Raw genomic sequence first — 20,562 nt, 5'->3', positions numbered from 1 at the left:
AAGCAAAATGTCTTGAGTTATTAGTATATTTTAAAGAGCCAATGGAAAAGAATTTCTGTAGACATGAAACTTTTCCACTGATTAGCACGCCATTCATAAAAATTAGCTAACAGTACCTATACGCGCACACACACACACACACACACACAGACACACAAACACACACACACCCCTTAAGTTAGAACAAGCGATACAGACTTTTCCTGCCATGGTTCTCTGCCTTCTTCTTCTTTCAGAAATAGGCCTTTCATTTTCTCGCTCTCTATTATCCAAAAACCTAAGTTTTGGGAAAAAGGTAGATGTCATTTCCAATACTTATTAGTGAATTTGAACATTATATGGTCAAAGGAGCAATAGGAATTTAGGAACTGGAATGGAACTGAAGTCAATGCAAGACTTAGAGGGTAAAGGGAAAGGCTGGGCACAGCACATTGGAGCTGGCATGAGAATGGAGACAAGGATGACAGGGTCCAGGAGTGAAACTTGAGTTGCTAGGTTTCCATAGTTGCATCTCTTAAATAAGGCATTCTGGGTCTCCCTCTCCCCACACATATACACACAAATCTTTTAATGCTTCTACCAAAGTTATTTACAGGAATGATCTGAGTTTATATGTTTTCCTATTTCTCTGCCTGTCTGTCTTATTCATTTTTGGTCTGTAAGGCCTGGAATAGTGCCTAGAATGTAGGAAAAAGAATAAAAGGTTTTTGTTGAATGAGGAACTGAATAATGGTTGAGATGGATGAAGAGTGTGGAAATGATTATAATCTAGATACTTGGATGAGATTAGATCACATGTATCCTAACACCCAAAATGTTATTTTATTGGGTAACTATGATCATCAGGGGCTAAAGAGAGTCTAGTTCGGAATCTAGAGGTAATAAAAACCCTCCTGACACCTGGGTTAGGCACAAAAATAAACCTGAATCAAGGACTTAATAGAAATCTGAGGACAATAATTAGATCATTTGCTATCTTGTTTGAATTCTCATTTCACTACTTCTTAGCTACATGAACTTCAGAAAGTTAGTTCCTGTCTCTGAGCCTCAATTTTCTCATCTGTCAAATAGGGTTATATAGTAACCTACATCATAGAAACTGTGGTGAAGTGTAAAGAAGGTAAGGCATGTAGTGCTTAGAATAGGGCCTGGTACATATTTAGGACTCAAATTACAGTACTTCTCAACTTTCCTGGTGGATCATCCCTGTGGTCCACCATTCAAGGAACATCCAATTGCCACCAAATTTCTTAGGCTGCCATATCTACCTGCTTCACCCTGCTTCCTTGTATTGAATCTCTTTTGGGAAGACACTGCATAAATCCATCCATGAATCTGGATCCACTTGAATCTGGTCCCTGCAGCCCACCATTCTTTGAGATGGGATTAGTTACAAGTCCCAGGTCTTATAGTCTTCCCAGTCCTGCTTAGATAACAAGATAGATCAGCAACAAGACGCCCTTTCCAATCTATGCCTACCTGTACAAACTATTCTCTCACTTTGATGCTCTCTCTACTTCTGCAGAATTAATGCTCTGCCCTTTTCAAAACTGACTCCCCACCCCCAGTTTGTATATGTTTGATGCCTTCTCCAGCTACATATTGAAATTTATCAGAAAGAGCCAGTCCACACATTTTTGTCCTATTTTGTTCAAAGGCCTCTCCTTAAAACATAATAGTGGTTCTGGAGCCAGATGGAGCTGGACATAGACCTTGACCCTTTGTTTTCTAACTTTGTGACATGGGGCATGTTAGCCTCTTTCTGTGCCTCAGCAACTACATCTATGTAGGGATAATAATACCCACCTCATAGGGTTGTCATGGTGGTTAAATGGGATAATATATTTGTAAAATGTTGTGCCTAGCATTTAGTCAACACTCAATAAATCATAGCAACAACTGCTAGTGATAGCAGCACTGCCTATCATTGCCAATACCACCCAGCTGAGTTGGATGAAGGGCCAGGTCATACTGGGCACTCCATGACATGGACTGAATGCAGGAGGGCAGTTCCAACTGATGGCCAGGTTGAGATGCATTCCCTGCCCCAGCAACTTCCTTCTCAGGTTGTGTTTGGAATAATGGCTTTTTATTCTGACCAGCCCCTTTTTGAGAATCAGGCAGAGCATTTCAATTTCTTTAGCTTTCTGGCTTGTGTTTTCCACATTAAACTCATTCCTTCAGAATATAAGGTAACTGTTGAATGTGCTGTCATTTAATACAAAGTTGTTGATTACGCCACAGCTGATTTCTGACATGGGTGGGATCTTATCCCAATCAGAAGCTATTGTCCCCCACAATCCCCTATTGAAATTGCACCTGTGTGCTTCTCCCAGGCTATATTTCCAGAATGATAGACTTCAAAGCTGCGGGTCAGTGCATGTTTGGGGCCCAATGCCAGTCAGCTTGGAGGTGTTCACAGCCATGCATCATGTTCTCTACATATGAAAGAAAAGTGACGCTCACAAAACTGGTCTTTGACGTGATCCAGAGCACCATGAATAGCTGAGTGATTGCATTCTCAAGGAGGTCTCAGAGTCAGACAGGGAGGGTGAGAAATATATGAGAAGAAGAAGACAGAAGAGTTCATTTCAAATGGGAGTACAGTGATGCAGAACTTGTGCATACCTGCTGGGAAGGGACGTTAGGCCATCGACTTTTCAACTCTCATGGCTACCTTACCAAGGAATGAAGTGACTGACTCAGCCAAGGTCATGTCCTGATGAGGCTGGACCCTGGTTCCCTTGGGCTCCCCCAATACACACAACATTCTTTGCACTGAAAGTGTACCTGGCAAAATTTGGCTTCATTGCCTATGTTGTGGTACTTGAAAAAAATGTTTAGATAGATAAGCAGCCAGTGGCTGAGTGGTAAAAACAAAGTGTTCATCAAGGAGAGGCTGTACAGTGGTTCTCAGACTTAAGCATGCACAGGAATAACTAAGGGAACATGTTGCAAAGACAGATTCTTCCACCCCATCCCAGACCTGCTGGATCAAAAATGTTTGGGTATGAGGGATGGTGCCTGAAAGTCTGAATTTTAAATATAACCATAAAACTGATTATTGCATAAGCGGTCAACCTCACGTAGTCATTCCTATGTGGCAAGCACTGTCCTGATTGTCCATAGTTATAACTCACCTAATAGTCACATTGGTCTTGTGAGTAGGGTCTATTATTCTCATACTCCCCACTTACAGATGAGGAAACAGAGGTGAGTAACTGACTCAAAGTCACATGACCCAGCTAGGCAAGATTGGCTCTAGGGTGAGATTCCTGGGCCACAGTAAATTTTTTTTTTATTACAATAGCTTAAGGGTTACAAGTGGTTTTTGGTTTCATGGATGAATTGTATAGTGGTAAAGTCTGGGATTTTAGTGTACGCATCACCTGAATAGTGTACATTGTACACAATAGGTAGTTTTTCATCCCTCACCCTCTTCCCACCCTTCCCACTTCTGAATCTCCAATGTCCGTTATATTATTCTGTATGTCTTTGAACACCCATAGCTTAGCTCCCACTTATGAGTGAGAATACGTGGTATTTGATTTTCCACTTCTGAGTTACTTCACTTAGAATAATGGCCTCCTGGCTGGGCGCAGTGGCTAATGCCTGTAATTCCAGCACTTTGGGAGGCCAAGACCAGCGGATCTCCTGAGGTCGGGAGTTTGAAACCAGCCTGACCAGCATAGAGAAAAACCCATCTCTACTAAAAATACAAAATTAGCTGGGCATGGTGGCACATGCCTGTCATCCCAGCTACTTGGGAGGATGAGGCAGGAGAATCACTTGTACCCAAAAGGCAGAGGTTGCAGTGAGCCGAGAACACACCATTGCACTCCAGCCTGGGCAACAAGAACGAAACTCTGTCTCAAAAAAAAAAAAAAAGAGAGAGAGAGAGAGAGAGAGAGAGAATAATGGCCTCCAGTTCCATCCAAACTGCTGGAAAAGACATTATTTCATTCTTTTTATGGCTGAGTAGTATTCCATGGTGTATATATACCACATTTTCTTTATCCTCTCATTGGTTGGTGGGCACTTAGGTCAATTCCATAGCTTTGCAATTGTGAATTGTGCTTCAGTACACATATGTGTGCAGGTGTCTTTTTGATATAATAATTCCTTTTCCTTTGGGTAGATACCCAGTAGTGGGATTGGTGGATCTACTTTCAGTTCTTTGAGAAATCTCCATATTGCTTTTTATAGAGGCTGTACTAATTTACATTCCCACCAGCAGTGTATAAGCATTCCCTTTTCACCACATCTGTGCCAACATGTATTGCTTTTTCACGTTTTAATGATGCCTGGGTTGCAATATTGATGATGTCTCGTTCCCAAAGTTATGCAAGTGCTCCTCAGGGAGTAAGAGCCTCTTTAAATTGGCTACCCTAGGGGCCTCCCTTGCCTCACTCGAGTCCTGGCTTTGGAGCTAGGATTTGGACCCAAGGAGTCTTTCTTCAGAATACATTATTTTAACTGTAGTACATGTGAATACCACAGGGAAAGATCTAAGATATGGAGACAATTTCTCCCTTTACCTTCATTTGGCAGCCAAAGATCTCCCTTCTGAAGAATATCCTGCAAGAAGTGTAGGTGATGGACAGGCTCCAAGGCTGCACTTCAGGGTCTTCCCTAGCTTTCATGTCCAGGCTACACCCTCCCAGGGCTGGGGGCTTAATTTTGCTGGACTATTTCTTCCCAACACCAGACTTCCTTAAACAACAAAGTTTGCTCTGGGTTTCCCATCAGCTTAGCCAAGACTATCTCAGAGCTGCACTACAGTCTAAGGCTCATTTTGTTCAATCTGCCTTCCTATCCTCCCCTCTTTCAGGTGTTAGGCCCACATCACAGTCTGGCGGCTCCTTCTGTCTTCTCCTCTCTCTTTGTCCTTCCTTCACAGTTGTTTCTACAATAAAGCTTCTGCATGTTTAATTCTGTCTTGGTGTCTGCTTCTTGGAGAACCTGGACGGACATAACCATCTCTTGCCTTCTAGGTCAGTGACTTTGAAACATTTTTGGCTGAGACCCACAGTAAGAAAAAAAAAGTTTCATCTTATCACAGTACATGTATGTGTTTGTGTGTGTATGCGTGTGTATATATGTGAATATATATCTCATATATTTGAGAAAAAGTTTCAAAAGCAATACCTACCTTCACTATATGCAATGCATGATTCTATTCTATCTCATTTTAAGAAAGTGCATCTAGTTATAATTCACAAAATTGCATTCAAGACCAAATATATACTAGAAATGCGATTTATTTTCATCCATTGGCAGCATTTGCTGATGATCACATGATGGTAGCATTTACATTTGATTGCTCCATCAGCCAGTGCAAGAGCTCCTTGCATTGTATTTGACTTTCCTGGTGGTCTCTTTTTCATGTTGGCTTCTTTTTGGTGCAACATAGCCATGTTTAGATGAGTATATACCGTTATATTAATAAAATAAATGTCAAATCAAAAGATTTATATGGGTAATTTTTAAATTGTTTCAATGTCAGGAGCACCTAGAAGTCAGGATACTCTTTTCAGAATACTTTAGATTTGGTAAATTTAAGGTCATGATTGACAAATAGTGTGTGTATTTATTTAATGAAAATACATTCCCTATGCCCCCCAAGAATGCTGGTTTTTAAATTGTTCATTTGATATTTTCTAGGTCTCACTGGCAGCAAGCAGAGGCAGTTTCCTATGATTAACAGATATTTACTGGATGTAAAAAGTAAAATTTAGAAGTTCTATCCATTTAAGTTTTGATTAATTGGAGAAAGGCTGATTTGTTGATGTCTTTTTAATTTTAGCTCTTTGAATTTTAGCTCAAGGAATGTCATTTGTCTTCAGGGGCATATTTTGAGAGGCAAATAATGGACACTGTGTTCCTAGCCCCTGGGTTCTACCTGCACATCCCACTCATGCAATTTAAAGACATCTCAGTGCTGTTTGGTTTGTTAATTCTATTATGAGATACGTATTCTAGAGAAATCATCAGAATTACAGAAAATGATTCATGTGCACAGTGGTCATCATTTCATTATTCATAATGATGTAAAATTGGGAACAACCTTAATTTCCAATGCTGGGGGATGGTTCAGTAAGCCATGCTGTGTCCATAAGAATAGAGATGTCCCTGATGTGCTGTTAGAGAATAAAGGCAGGAGGCTGAACTGAGCACAGAATTTACAATCTACATCGTTAAAACATGAAATCTGGCAGTAAATAACCAAAGTGCAAATGGCAATACCTTCTATATTCTAAAACATTGATTCTCAACTGAGATAATTTTTTTTCTGTCGGGGGGACATTTGACAATGACTGAAGACAGTTTTTGGATGCCATGAGTGGAGTGAAATGCTACTGGCATCTACTGGGTGGAGACCAGTGATTTTCCTTATCATCCTGCAATGCACAGGATGGACCCCACAGGATGGCAAAGAATTAACTATCCCAAAATGTCAATACTGCTGAGATTAAGAAACCCTACTCTAGGAGCATGAGCTGTTTTAGTTTTCTTCACCATACTTTTATCAGCATTTTTCAAATGTTTGTTTTTAACAATAAGCATATAGTACCCTTATTATTAGAAAAATACATGAGTAATATGTGATTAAGAAGTCTGTCTAACTAATAAGTTTAAAAGAGCTCATTTAGTAAGGGCAAAGTAAAAATTCTAAGAGATAAATCACTGTGTTTTGATTCAACTGGCAGAGTTTTGTTTTGTTTTCTGCCTTTGTGGTATATAAATGTCTTCCAATTGACGGCATCTTAGATGAATGAAATACAGCATTTTCCAGCTGGGGAGAGGTTTTCTCTGGAGAGCTATTCCTACATTCCTAGCACTCCTTCCTTCAGGTTCTGAGTTTCTGTGGTGTTTTTTCCTTTTCTAATTGGTTTTCTTCTTACCTCTCTAATGCTATTTTCCAGACTTTCCTCTCTGGTTTTCAGCAGGTGAAGTAGCAGAGTTCCCAGGGTTTTGTGCTCAGATCTGTAGGTATCTGTTTCTGTGGAGGCTCCTTTGGGACTGTTACCCCTCTCTGGGCTCATTCCTTCATAAAGCTGCAGAGCTGACATGCAACTTCAAGTCTGTGAATTATTCCTTCTGAATATTTTTTGAATGTGTTCTTTCTCTATTGATACTGACCCCATCATGGTTGAGGCTTTTTTCGTCATTCTCCCTTACTATACCAATCAGTTTTCTTAATTTAGTTTTTTTTTAAATTAAAAGTTTCTATTTGAACGTAATAGTAGACTCACATGTAGTTGTATGAAACAATACTGAGAGATCCCATGTACCCTTTACCCAGTTTCCCTAGTGGTAACATCTTGAAAACTAATGTACAGTATCACAACCAGGATATTGACGTTAGAGTCAAGATACAAACCATTCTCCTTACCACAAGGAACCTTCAGGTTGCCCTTTAAGGGCCACATCTCCTCCTTAACCCTGGCAACTACTAATTTGTTACCCACTTCTATAACTTTGTCATTTAAAAAATATTTTATAAATGAACATAGAGTATATGACCATATGAGATTGGCTGTTTTTCTCCACTCGTCGTAATTCTCTGGTGATTCATCCAGGTTGTTGAGTGTATCCATAGTTCATTTGTTTTCAGTTGCTGAGTAGTATTCCGTAGTGTTGATGTACCACAGTTTGTTTAACCATCTATCCACTGAAGAATATCTAGGTTGTTTCTAATTTTTGGCTATTATGAATAAAGCAGCTATAAATATTTGTATACAGGTTTTTTGTGTGAATATATGTCTTCATTTTTCTATAATAAATTTCTGGGAGTACAGTTACTGCGCTATATGGTAGTTGCATGCTTAGTTTTTAAAGAAATTGCAAATTGTTTTCCAGAGGATTTGTACCAATGGCAATATATCGGTGACCCAGATTCTTCACATCCTTGCCAGCATTTGGTGGTGTCATTCTTTTCTTTTTTTTTTTTTTTTTAGGATAGATATATTTTATTTCATGAAGACAATAATTCACTTTACAGCAATGAAAATGAATAAATTATAGCTGGCATGTAACAAAATTGTTAAATTTCAGAAACAATGCTAAACAGAAGACAGAATCAGAGTACATACTGTATGATAGCAGTTCAAAAGCAGGCAAATCTGATGTATAGGGAACATGTTAGTAAGTGATAAAATTGTGAAGCAAACCACAGCAGTTACTTTAAAAGCCAAGAGTGGTTACCTTTATTTTTTAATAGAATATTTTTATTTGTGTATTTCTTTAATTTGAAAATTTTCAAAGATGTCTATACTCAAAGAAAATGTCAAAATAGTCTCCAGATTCTTTATCCAAAGCTTTTGGAAGCGTTCAATAATAGGTTGTGTGTTACTTTTCATTTATATTGTAAACATGGAAACAAAAAACAAATTATAAAAAGTAGAAAATTCAAAAGAATATTGAAATGTTGGAAAGAATTAGAAAACTTTTCAGAAATAATTTGAGTTTTGCCTGCCTGAGGCTTCATCTTACTTGATTAACTCAATATTTTCTGTATGTTTGTGTGTATATGACTGAGTTCTTATAGACTTAGAAAAACTTTGAAATTGCATTCACAAAAGTAAAAAAATTTTAGGTTGGGAGACTTTAATTCAGTTTAACAAATATTTTCAGAATCTGCATAATGCACCTAGAAATATATTCCAGGGTTGTATTTTCACTGTAGTCTACTAAAATTTCCTTTTAAATTTTTTAAAAAAATTTTTTACTGTTAAGGATGAGTTCATGTCCTTTGTAGGGACATGGATGAAGCTGGAAACCATCACTCTCAGCAAACTATCACAAGGACAGAAAATCAAAACACCGCATGTTCTCACTCATTGGTGGAAATTGAACAATGAGAACACTTGGACACAGGATGGGGAACATCACACACCGGGGCCTTTTGTGGGGTGGGGGGATGGGGGAGGGATAGCATTAGGAGATATACCTAATGTAAATGACGAGTTAATGGGTGCAGCACACCAACATGGCACATGTATACATATGTAACAAACCTGCACGTTGTGCACATGTACCCTAGAACTTATAATAGTAAAAATAAAAATGAAAATAAATTTTTACTGTTTAATTTTACTTTAAGTTCCAGGATACATTCACAGAACATGCAGGTGTGTTTCAGAGGTATACATGTGCCATGGTGGCTTACTGCATCTAGCAACCCATCATCTGGGTTTTAAGCCCCACATGCATTAGGTATTTGTCCTGATGCTCTCCCTTCCCCACCTGCCCACCTCCTGACAAGCCCTAGTGTGTGTTTTTCCCCTCCCTGTGTCCATGTGTTCTCCTTGTTCGGCTTCCACTTATGAGTCAGAACATGTGGTGTTTGGTTTTCTGTTCCTCTGTTAATTTGCTGAGGATGGTAGCTTCCAGCTTCATCCATGTCCCTGCAAAAGACATGATCTGATTCCTTTTTATGGCTGCATAGTATTCCATGGTGTATATGTACCACACTTTCTTTATCCAGTCTATCATTGATGAGCATTTGGATTGGTTTCATGTCTTTGCTATGGTAAGTAGTGCTGCAATAAACATACATGTGCATGTGTTCTTATAGCCAAATGATTTCTATTCCTTTGGGTATATACTTAGTAATGGGATTGCTGGGTCAAATGGTATTTCTGGTTCTAGATCCTTGAGGAATTGCCACACTGTCTTCAACAATGGTTGACCTAATTTACATTCCCACGAACCATGTAAAAGCATTCCTATTTCTTCACAGTCTCACCAGCATCTACTGTTTCTTGACTTTTATTTATTATTGATAGTAATAGCCGTTCTGACTGGTGTAAGATTGTGTCTCAGTATGGTTTTGATTTGTATTTCCCAAATGATCAGTGATGTTGAGCTTTTTTTCATGTTTGTCGGCTGCATAAATGTCTTCTTTTGAGAAGTATCTGTTCATATCCTTTGCCTGCTTTTTGATGGGGTTTTTTGTTTTTTTCTTGCAAATTTGTTTAAGTCCCTTGTAGATTCTGGATATTAGACCTTTGTCAGATGGGTAGATCACAAACATTTTCTACCATTCTATAGGTTGCCTGTTCACTCTGATGATAGTTTCTTTTGCTGTGCAGAAGCTCTTTAGCTTAATTAGATCCCATTTGTCAGTTTTAGCTTTTGTTGAAATTGCTTTTGGCATTTTCATCATGAAATCTTTGCCTGTGCCCATGTCCTGAATGGTATTGCCTAGGTTTTCTCCTAGGGTTTTTACGGTTTTGCATTTTACATTTAAGTCTTTTATCTATCTTGAGTTTTTTTTTTTATTATATTTTAAGTTCTGGGATACATGTGCAGAACATGCAGGTTTGTTCCCTAGGTATACACGTGCCATGGTGGTTTGCTGCATCTAGCAACCCGTCATCTAGGTTTTAAGCCCCGCTTGCATTAGGTATTTGTCCCAATGCTCTCCCTCCCCATGCCCCCAATCCCTGACAGGCCCTAGTGTGTGATGTTCCCCTCCCTGTGCCCATGTGTTTTCATTCTTCAACTCCCACTTATGAGTGAGAACATGTGGTATTTGGTTTTCTGTTCCTGTGTTAGTTTGCTGAGAATGATGGTTTCCAGCTTCATCCATGTCCCTGCAAAGAACACGAATTCATTCTATTTTATGGCTGCATATTATTCCATGGTGTATATGTGACACCTTTTCTTTATCCAGTCTATCATAGATGGGCATTTGGGTTGGTTCCAAGTCTTTGCTATTGTGAATAGTGCTGCAATAATCATATGTGTGCATGTGTCTCTATAGTAGAATAATTTATATTCCTTTGGGTATATACGCAGTAATGGGATTGCTGGGTCAAATGGTATTTCTGGTTCTAGATCCTTGAGGAATTGCCACACTGTCTTCCACAACTCCCACCAACAGTGTAAAAGCATTCCTATTTCTCCATATCATCTCCAGCATCTGTTGTTTTCTGACTTTTTAATGATCGCCACTGTAACTGGCGTGAGATGGTATCTCATTTGGTTTTGATTTGCATTTCTCTAATGACCAGCGATGATAGATTTTTTCATGTTTGTTGGTCATGTAAATGTCTTCTTTTGAGAAGTGTCTGTTCATGTCCTTTGCCCACTTTTTGATGGGGTTCTTTGTTTTTCTTTCTTGTAAATTTGTTTAAGTTCCTTGTAGATTCTGTATATTAGACCTTTGTCAGATGGACAGATTGCGAAAATTTTCTCCAATCTGGAGGTTGCCTGTTCACTCTGATGATAGTTTCTTTTACTGTGCAGAAGCTCTTTAGTTTAATTAGATCCCATTTGTCAATTTTGGCTTTTGTTGCCATTGCTTTTTGTGTTTTAGTCATGAAGTCTTTGCCCATGTCTATGTCCTGAATGGTATCGCCTAGGTTTTCTTCTAGAGTTTTTATGATTTTAGGTCTTATGTTTAAGTCATTAATCCATCTTGAGTTATTGTTTGTATAAGGTGTAAGGAAAGGGTTCAGTTTCAGTTTTCTGCATATGGCTAGCCAGTTTTCCCAGCACCATTTATTAAATAGGGATTCCTTTCCTCATTACTTGTTTTTGTCAGGTTTGTCGAAAATCAGATGGTTGTAGATGTGTGATGTTATTTCTGTGGCCTCTGTTCTGTTCCGTTGGTCTATATATACATCTGTTTTGGTACCAGAACCAGGTTGTTTTGGTTAATGTAGCCTTGTAGTATAGTTGGAAGTCAGGTAGTGTGACGCTTCCAGCTTTGTTCTTTTTGCTTGGGATTGTCTTGGCTGTATGCGCTCTCTTTTGGTTCCATATGAAATTTAAAGTAGTTTTTTTCTAGTTCTCTGAAGAAAGTCAATAGTAGCTTGATGGGAATAGCATTGAATCTATAAATTACTTTGGGCAGTATGGCCGTTTTCACAATATTGATTCTTCCTATCCATGAGCATGAGATGTTTTTTCATTTGTTTGTGTCCTCTCTTATTTCCTTGAGAAGTGGTTTGTAGTTCTCCTTGAAGAGGTCCTTCGCATCCCTTATAAGTTGGATTCCTAGGCATTTTATTTTCTTTGTAGCATTGTGAATGGGAGTTCACTCATCATTTGGCTCTCTGTTTGTCTATTATTGATGTATAAGAATGCTTGTGATTTTTGCACATTGATTTTTTATCCTGAGACTGCTGAATTTGCTTCTCAGCTTAAGGTGTTTTGGGGCTGAGACAATGGGGTTTTCTAAATATACAATCATGTCATCTGCAAACAGAAACAGTTTGACTTTCTCTCTTCCTATTTAAATATACTTTATTTCTTTCTCTTGCCTGATTGCCCTGGCCAGAACTTCCAACACTATGTTGAATAGGAGTGGTGAGAGAGGGCATCCTTCTCTTGTGCCAGTTTTCAAAGGGAACGCTTCCAGCTTTTGCCCATTCAATATAATATTGGCTATGGGTTTGTCATAAATAGCTCTTATTATTTTTAGATATGTTCCCTCAATACCCAGTTTTTTTAACTGTTTTTAGCATGAAGGGGCATTGAATTTTATCGAAGGCCTTTTCTGCATCTATTGGGGTCTCACCCAGTTGGGTGGCACGGGGAGCAGGACCCATTTAACAAAGCACTTTGGCTGTCCCTTGGTGGAGGGGGTGTGCCATGCTGGGGGGAAACTCACTCGTCTGAGTTGCCCGGATTACTCAGAACTAGCAGGAGGAAAGACTAAGTCTGCTGGTCTGCAGAGAATATAGCCACTCCTCCTCCTAGGAGCTCAGGCCCAGGGACATCAGAGTTCTGTCCCTGAGCCCCTGAATGGAGTTGTTGGAGTTCCTCCAGGGAGGCACCCCAGTGAGGAGGGATGGGTCAGGGTCAGGCCTGAAGATGCACTCTGGCTGCAGTCTGCCACAGCCTGTGTGTTGCCCTGTGAGGAATAACCTCTTAAGACCAAGCCTTCCAGCCTCCCTGGCTCCAGCCAGGGAAAAGTGCAGCCTGGAGCTATAGAGATGGCTGCCACCCTTCCTCTACCCCAAGAGCTTAGTGTATTAGACAGCTAGCAGTCCCATTGTTGGCTGCTGCCCTTCCTCCAAGTCTCTTGGAAGGCTTAGACAGTAGGCGGCTGCCCCTCCCCACCAGGAACTCAGCCTGTTTAAGCAGTTTCTAGCTGAGTGGCTGTTGAGAATCTGCTCAGCTTTGTGGTTTTCTAGGCCCCAGTGGTGTGAGCTCACTAGTGAGATTTTCTAATCTGTGGATTACACAGTTCCATGGGAAAAGCACAGTTTCCCAGGCTGGATAGCACTCTTACTCACCACCTTCCTTGGCTGGGGGGTGGAAGCTCCCCTGTCCTGTGTGGCTCTCAGGTGGGCCACTGCACCATTCTGCTCTTCCTTTCTTTCTGTGGGTCACGCCAGCTGCCTAGGGTCAGTCCTGATGACAGAACCTGCATACCTTGGTTGCCGGTGCTGGATTTGCATGCTGTTTTGGTTCTTTTCAGTGGGAGCGTCTGATCACTGCTGCTTCTAGTTGGCCATCTTGACTGCAGTCATTCTTTCTATCTTAGAGCTTCTGATAGATGTGTAGTAGTATCTCACTATGGCTTTAATTTGCATTTTCCTAATGGCTAAAAACATAGAACATCTTTTCATGTGCTTATTTATCTTCTGTATTTGTTTTTTGACGAAATGCCTTTTCATGCCTCCTGCCCATTTTCTACTTGGATTGTTAGCTTTTTTGTTATTGAATTTGGAGAATTTAAAATATATATATATTCTTGACATTAGTCCTTTGTTGGGCATATGGTTTTAAAATATTTTATTCTCCTCTATGGTTTGCATTCTTATCCACTGTTACAGTTTTTTCTGATTCATTCTAATTCCTAGCCTCTTTCCTTCAATGCTGTCTTCAGAGGTATTTTAGTACCAGGAACTCCTAACATGAAAATCCTTGTAGGATTCCAGTAGAGACTGGAAAATTGTTTATAAAACTGGTAAAATTTACATAAATATCTGGATCTTAGCTTCTCCAAAAGAATCAGGTAATCAGGCAACACTGGTTTGCATTTATTTTGATAACACTCAGAACTCACTTTAGATAGTACTCTCTGAGTTTTCACTTTCTTCACTTTTTCCTGTTGGCTAATAACCAGACTGCTTTATTTACTTCTGTTAGAGTTTGTATATGGTTGGTTTGTCCCACCAAATCTTACATTGAAGTTTGATCCCAGTGTTGGAGGTGGAAACTACTGGGAGGTATTTGTGTCACTGGGGGTGGATCCCTCATGAATAGATTAATCCTTTCTCTGGGGAGGGGTTGAGATGAATGAGTTCTCATACTATTAGTTCCCATGAGAGCTGGTTATTAAAAAAGAACCTAGAGTTTCCTTCTCTCACTTCCTCTCTTACCAGGTGATCTCTGTACACATTGGCTCCCCTTTGCCTTCTGCCATGAGTGAAAGCAGCCCGAGGCTTTTGCCAGATGCAAATGCCCAATCCTGAACTTTTCAGCACTCCAGAATTGTGAGCCAAATAAATCTTTTTTCTTTATAAATTGCCCAGCCTCAAGTATTCTTTTATAGCAGGACAAAATGGACTAAGATGCTTCTTTACCTGCCTAGCCCTGGTAGGCATTAAGATTTTAACCCCTGGCTGACACAGTACAGTTTAAATTCTCTTGCATGATATGGTAGGCTGAATTATGTTCCCCAAAAACACCTAAGTCCTTGTAAAACAAAAATAAAATTCTAACCCCCCCACCCCCACCCCAACCATCTGAATGGACTTCCTCCTCAGCCAGGACACTCTTAAAATTTAACCTGAAAGATTGGTTCAGGCCATTGCAGGAAGTGGGGCTCAGACATGCCTCATTACGCCTCTCTGGCATTAACATCAACACAGACCTTAAGTCTGATAAGAAGTATTTACAATCTATTCTCTCTGAAGCCTGCTACCTGAAGACTTTCTCTGCACACTAAGAACTTTAGTCTCCACAATCCTTTATCTTAACCCAGACATTATCTATTTTCTTTCTATTGATCCCAGGTCTTTATATAAACTCAACCATTTGGCAACCAGAAAATTTAAAAATCACCTATAATCTGGAAGCTCCCCCCAGCCCCCCACTTCAAATTGTCCTGCCTTTCTGAACTGGACTCATGTATTTCTTAAATGTATTTGATTGAAGTCTCATGTCTCCCTAACATGTATAAAACCAAGCTGCACCCCAACTTACACAGCGTCCATGTGAAGAGACCACCACAGGCTTTGTGTGAGCAACAAGGCTGTTTATTCCAGCTGGGTGCAGGCGGGCTGAGTCCAAAAAGAGAGTCAGAGAAGGGAGATAGGGGTGGGGCCGTTTTATAGGATTTGGGTAGGTAGTGGGAAAATTACAGTCAAAGGGGGTTGTTCTCTGGCTGGCAGGGGCAGGGGACATAAGATGCTCAGTGGGGGAGCTTTTGAGCCAGGATGAGCCAGGAGAAGGAATTTCACAAGGTAATGTCATCAGTTAAGGCAGGAACAGGCCATTTTCACTTCTTTTGTGATTCTTCAGTTACTTCAGGCCATTTGGATGTATACGTGCAGGTCACAGGGGATATGATGGCTTAGCTTGGGCTCAGAGGCCTGACACAACCCCCTTGGGCACGTGTTCTCAGGACTTCCTGAGGGCTGTGTGACAGGCTGTGGTCACTCGTATTTGGCACAGAATAAATCTCTTCAAATATCTTACAGAATTTGCCTCTTTTTATTGACATCCTGATTCCTAGAACCTGCAAATACGTTACCTTATGTAGCAAAAGGGACTTTGTTGAGGTTGATTAAGTTAAGGATCTTGAGAGGGGGAATTATCCTGGATTATCTGGATAGGCTTGATGTAATCACAAGGGTTCTTACAAAACAAGAGCAGAAGGGACAGGGTCAGAGACGAGATGTGGACAGAAGCAGAAGCTGAAATTATGCACTTTGTAGACAAAGGTAGAGGCTGCAATTCAAGGGATGCAAATGGCCTCTAGAAACTGGAAAAGGCAAGAGAACAGATCTCCCATTGAATGTCCAGAAGCAGTGCAGCTCTTCTGATACCTTGGTTTTAGCCTGTAAGATCTATTTTGGATTTCTGACCTTCAGAATTGTAAGCTAATACATCTGTGCTGTTTAAGCCACTAAGTGTATGGTAATTTGCTACAACAGCAACAGGAAACTAGCACTCACAGTGTTTAAGTTTATTTACTACCTGACTTCAACAAATCCCTGAATGCTGGTTTCTTTCCCCTTTGCTCCATTCTCTGTATACCCTATAGTCTCCACATGAAATTACTCATCATTCCCCAGGACACCATGTTTTTCACATCTCCATGTTTTTGAGTCATGCTTTTTGCCTAAAATTCTATCTCTTTCCATAAAACTTCTAGAAAAGAAAGGGGGAAGCCTACTTTAATATTATAACTACCAAAGATATTTTTACCACTTACAGTGCAGACAAGCTGAAGTTGATGAAAGATGCCACAGATCATTCCACAAGTTTCCCACCTGAGAGAGTACACCCTATTATAAGAGTCCCATTAAGATACCCTAATTTGGAAGAATTCAAACTGGAAAAGAAGGCAGTTCTCTGTGGATCAGGTGGGGAGTTCTTGGCTTGATGTCCTTTTAGCATTGTAGAATAACACTGGGAAGCCAATGTGATGGGAGGTGCAAAGGCAGGTATGGGCATGGCAAATGGAAAGGTGACAAATGGTGGGACCTCCTAAAGATGCAGCTTCTTTGTGCCTTTCTGTGGATCCCAGTTTTAGTATTTAGCATGTCATGCATTTGTAGTTAAAATCTAAAGCTAACTTAAGAAAAGAGTTGAGACTGTAGTCAGCCAGGTTCAGCTTTGCTTGCAGCACTGGTGGTCCCAGGAAACAGAGCAGCTGTCTCCCAGTGGAACAGAAAGAACTGCTCTAGCTGACAGCAGTTGCATTTGCACCGACTCAACCAAGGCAGTGAGCAGTTCCCACCACATGCCTATGGAGACGTGCTGCTCCCAGGCTGCTGGGCACCACTCAGTCTGATTCCTGGCTGGGCTCACTGCCACGTCTGCTGAACCACTTTGTTTTCCAAGATCTACAATGCCACCAGTATGACCAATTAATATTGCCAAGGCACCTGCCACAGTTGGCCATGGCTTCTGGGAATGGTAGTGACAACAGATACACAGGCAGGACACAAACCAAGCTTTGTGGGTAGTTCCCAGCATTTTACCAAAACTGCCTCTTTTGCTGCAGGGAGATATTTTCCCTTTCAGATATGGAACTTTCCATTCGAGACGCCCATACTCTACCCCAGCCAGCCTCCTCTTCCACAGGGAGATGCATCATCTTCTCATAATTCCTCTTTATGCAGCCCTTAAGTATGGCCTACACAGCACATGCTTAAGCACAGCAGAGCTTTCCTCTTAAGCCTGAGGTCTTTCACGGCACCTCTTCCTCTGGCACTGCACTAGCAGGGCAGTGAGATTTCAGAATCCTGACATTCTGCTGCCACTGCTCATCTGCTTGATTTGCATGCAAGGCAGAACCCTCTCTAAAAGTGACAACTAGAAAGTATTTTAAGATGCCGGCTCCTAGCATTATTAATCCACCTAATATGTCTCTGAGGGACTAGGGGGCAATCTTGTAACTCCATGCTGGTTTTTCAACAGTGTTAGCATGGGCTTTTATCAGAGACTTTAGAATTTTCAATTGCTTCTATGTAGCTACTTCCAGGATTTCTTCACCATAATTAGTTCTTGTCACATGTTTAACCTGTTGTTTTCAGAAACTGATGAAACCTAATGAATTCTTTTAGAACTATATTGTTTAGGGAAAGGTAGACGTGTGGGATGAAGAGAAACAAAGCCTTATAGATGCTCAAAAATCAGCCCCAGCTCTAAAGAGATAATGCAGCTTGGATTTTCTGATACTCTCCTTGAACTTTCCAATCAGGAAATAGGCACTGGGAGAGGGAAACCACATTTTCCTCTCTTTTTCAAAAAAAATGTTGCCCAACAGGTTTGTGCTATTTCTGATAACAAAGCCCGTGTGGGCTGTGTCATCCAATTATATCCCCGTAAGATCTTTGTGATAGATTGATTTTCACTCCCAGTTGATGAAATTGTTGTCTTTTTTTCCCCTTATGTCTTCACAGGCTTTTTAGTGGAAAGTTGAAAAATGCTGCATTTGGGCCCACTAGCTGGATTGCTTGCTAAATCAGACTTCTAGATGTAACTTTCAAAAGTCTGTTTTGTTCTTTTTTTTTTTTTGTCTATTCAGAGAAGCCCATTTTATGGATTGTAGAACAGGGCCAAGTGGAGGTGGTTATTATGGAGAATGAGGAGCTGCATTCAGTCTTTAAGAAAACCTTGATTTGAATGGAAAGCTCAGAAACCCTAAGCTTTTACATTTCCATACTTGCTGGAGTCGTGGTGCCAATTTTTATTTCCTTTGAATGAGAGACAGGTAATTTGTAGTTTATTGTGCCTTTACAATGCAATGCCTGATGCTTTGTTAACTAACAAAACAACAAATTTCATCATGTGTCAGTTAATGATATCTTCTCTCCCAGTGTATGGCTTTCTTGAATACTCAGAAATTGTCTTAAAATTTGAGGAGTTTTCTTTTGAAATATAGCTGTCACTCTAATTCCCTATCCCCCTTTCAGTCTTCATCTTTGGAAGAAAAATTTGCACTTGTCGCCACATTCTCGCCTGCTCCCCGCCCCCCGGGCCCCCAACAATTTCCCCAACCTCTCCCCAGTCACTCCTTTGCTTACTGGATTCTGGGCCACCATCAGTCCATGGCAAATCATCGTGAAGGCCACCACTGAATTGCTAACAGCCAAATTCAACCTCCAAACTTTTTTTTACCTGATTTCACCTCCTGCTTCATTTTTTTAAATAGGAAAAATGAATGTGAACAAGTTTGAATTTTCTCACATCACGCATTCTTACTCCCTTCCCTGTTGAGTGAGCCTATCTGTTGTTCAAACTCCATTCTTGAGACCCTTTCATTTCCTCTGGACTCTTACTCCATCAATAGCTTCTCTAGTATATTCCGATTTCCTCTTTCTACTGGCCACTTCCAAATTAGCCTATGAATGTGTTTGAGTATGTCTCATCTAATACACACAAACACACACACACACACACACACACACACACACACACACACACGCTTTGTCCCTTGATCCTGTGTCCTCCTTCAACTCTTAGATTATCTTTCCTTGAAAAGCCAAATTGGTTAGCAAAACAGTTTCCACTTGCTATCTCCAAATTCTAACCTATCATTTTCTCTTGAAAACTTCAAACACCTTTTTGTGGCATCTAATGGGATGATTATACGTTTGTATGGTTTTCTTTTCTTATCTGATCAGTGAATGTCATGAATTATTTTAAAAAAATGTTGATCAATCCTTGGAGCGCCTTTTTTTTTTTTTAATTCAACCTGCTAATGTTTTATTTGGCAGTTTGCATGTCACAAATATTTACCCCTGTTTTCTTCTGAGAGTTTTATAGGTTTAGCTCTTACATTTAGGTTTTTGGTTTTCAATTTATTCTGAAGTTAAACTTAGGATTTATATTTAGAATCTAGACGGTGGTTCTGAAAGTACTGCTCCCACACCAGCAGCATCAATACCTCCATAAACTTGTTAGAAATGCAACTGCTTATAGGAATGCTTTCACACTGTTGGTGGGAATGTAAATTAGTTCAACCATTGTTGAAGACAGTATGATGATTCCTCAAATACCTAGAACCAGAAATAACATTTGACCCAGCAATCCCATTACTGGGTATATACCCAAAGGAATATAAATCATTCTATTATAAAGATACATGCATACGTATGTTCATTGCAGCACTATTCACAATAGCAGACAGGGAATCAACCCAAATGCCCAACAAAGATAGACTGGATAAAGAAAATGTGGTACATATACTCCATGGAATACTATGCATCCATAAAAAGGAATGAGATCATGTCCTTTGCAGAAACATAGATGGAGCTGGAAGCCATTATCTTCAGCAAACTAATGCAGGAATAGAAAACCAAACACTGCATGTTCTCTCTTATAAGTGGGAGCTGAACAATGAGAACACATGGACACAGGGAGGGAACAACACACACTGGGGCCTTTGGGGTGAGGGAGGTGAAGGAAGGGAAAGCATCAGGATGAAGACCTAATGCATGCGGGGCTTAATACCCAGGTGATGGGTTGATAGGTGCAGCAAACCACCATGGCAGACGCCTACCTATATAATGAACCTGCCTGTCCTGCACGTGTATCCCAGAACTTAAAATTAAATTAAATTAAATTTAAAAAAAAGAAATGCAACTTCTCAGGTTGTAACCCCAGATCACTGAGTCAGAAACTCTGGGAGTGGAGCACAGTGATAGTGGCAGGAGGCAGCCAAATGCCTGAAGCCAAGCCTGACGCCAAGCTACAAGTCAAATTCACAGACTGAATTGAGAACCTGTCTTCCCATTTGGTGCACTTTCCTCTGATTTCTCCCTACCCTTCACCTATTTAAATATAACTACCTTCCCTAATTGGTTTTTTACACTGTCATGCCCACCTTTGAGTGGTGCCTTTATTTTAACCTTTTTCACA

At 40.2% G+C, this 20,562-nt stretch overlaps 5 annotated features.

Annotated features, from left to right (window-relative positions):
* Positions 12,696 to 12,855: an enhancer, noted in NCBI's record as "active region_16092". NCBI's record gives its function as "activates an Ori minimal core promoter by ATAC-STARR-seq in GM12878 lymphoblastoid cells {active_cell/tissue: GM12878}" and the evidence as "EXISTENCE:reporter gene assay evidence [ECO:0000049][PMID:35858748]".
* Positions 12,886 to 12,965: an enhancer, noted in NCBI's record as "active region_16091". NCBI's record gives its function as "activates an Ori minimal core promoter by ATAC-STARR-seq in GM12878 lymphoblastoid cells {active_cell/tissue: GM12878}" and the evidence as "EXISTENCE:reporter gene assay evidence [ECO:0000049][PMID:35858748]".
* Positions 13,006 to 13,095: a silencer, noted in NCBI's record as "silent region_11680". NCBI's record gives its function as "represses an Ori minimal core promoter by ATAC-STARR-seq in GM12878 lymphoblastoid cells {active_cell/tissue: GM12878}" and the evidence as "EXISTENCE:reporter gene assay evidence [ECO:0000049][PMID:35858748]".
* Positions 13,166 to 13,435: an enhancer, noted in NCBI's record as "active region_16090". NCBI's record gives its function as "activates an Ori minimal core promoter by ATAC-STARR-seq in GM12878 lymphoblastoid cells {active_cell/tissue: GM12878}" and the evidence as "EXISTENCE:reporter gene assay evidence [ECO:0000049][PMID:35858748]".
* Positions 13,446 to 13,525: an enhancer, noted in NCBI's record as "active region_16089". NCBI's record gives its function as "activates an Ori minimal core promoter by ATAC-STARR-seq in GM12878 lymphoblastoid cells {active_cell/tissue: GM12878}" and the evidence as "EXISTENCE:reporter gene assay evidence [ECO:0000049][PMID:35858748]".

Source organism: Homo sapiens, chromosome 2 (assembly GCF_000001405.40).
Source record: "Homo sapiens chromosome 2, GRCh38.p14 Primary Assembly".
NCBI classification, from domain to species: domain Eukaryota; kingdom Metazoa; phylum Chordata; class Mammalia; order Primates; family Hominidae; genus Homo; species Homo sapiens.
Note: the sequence above shows the minus strand (reverse complement) of the source record. Positions and strands in the feature narration are given on the sequence as shown.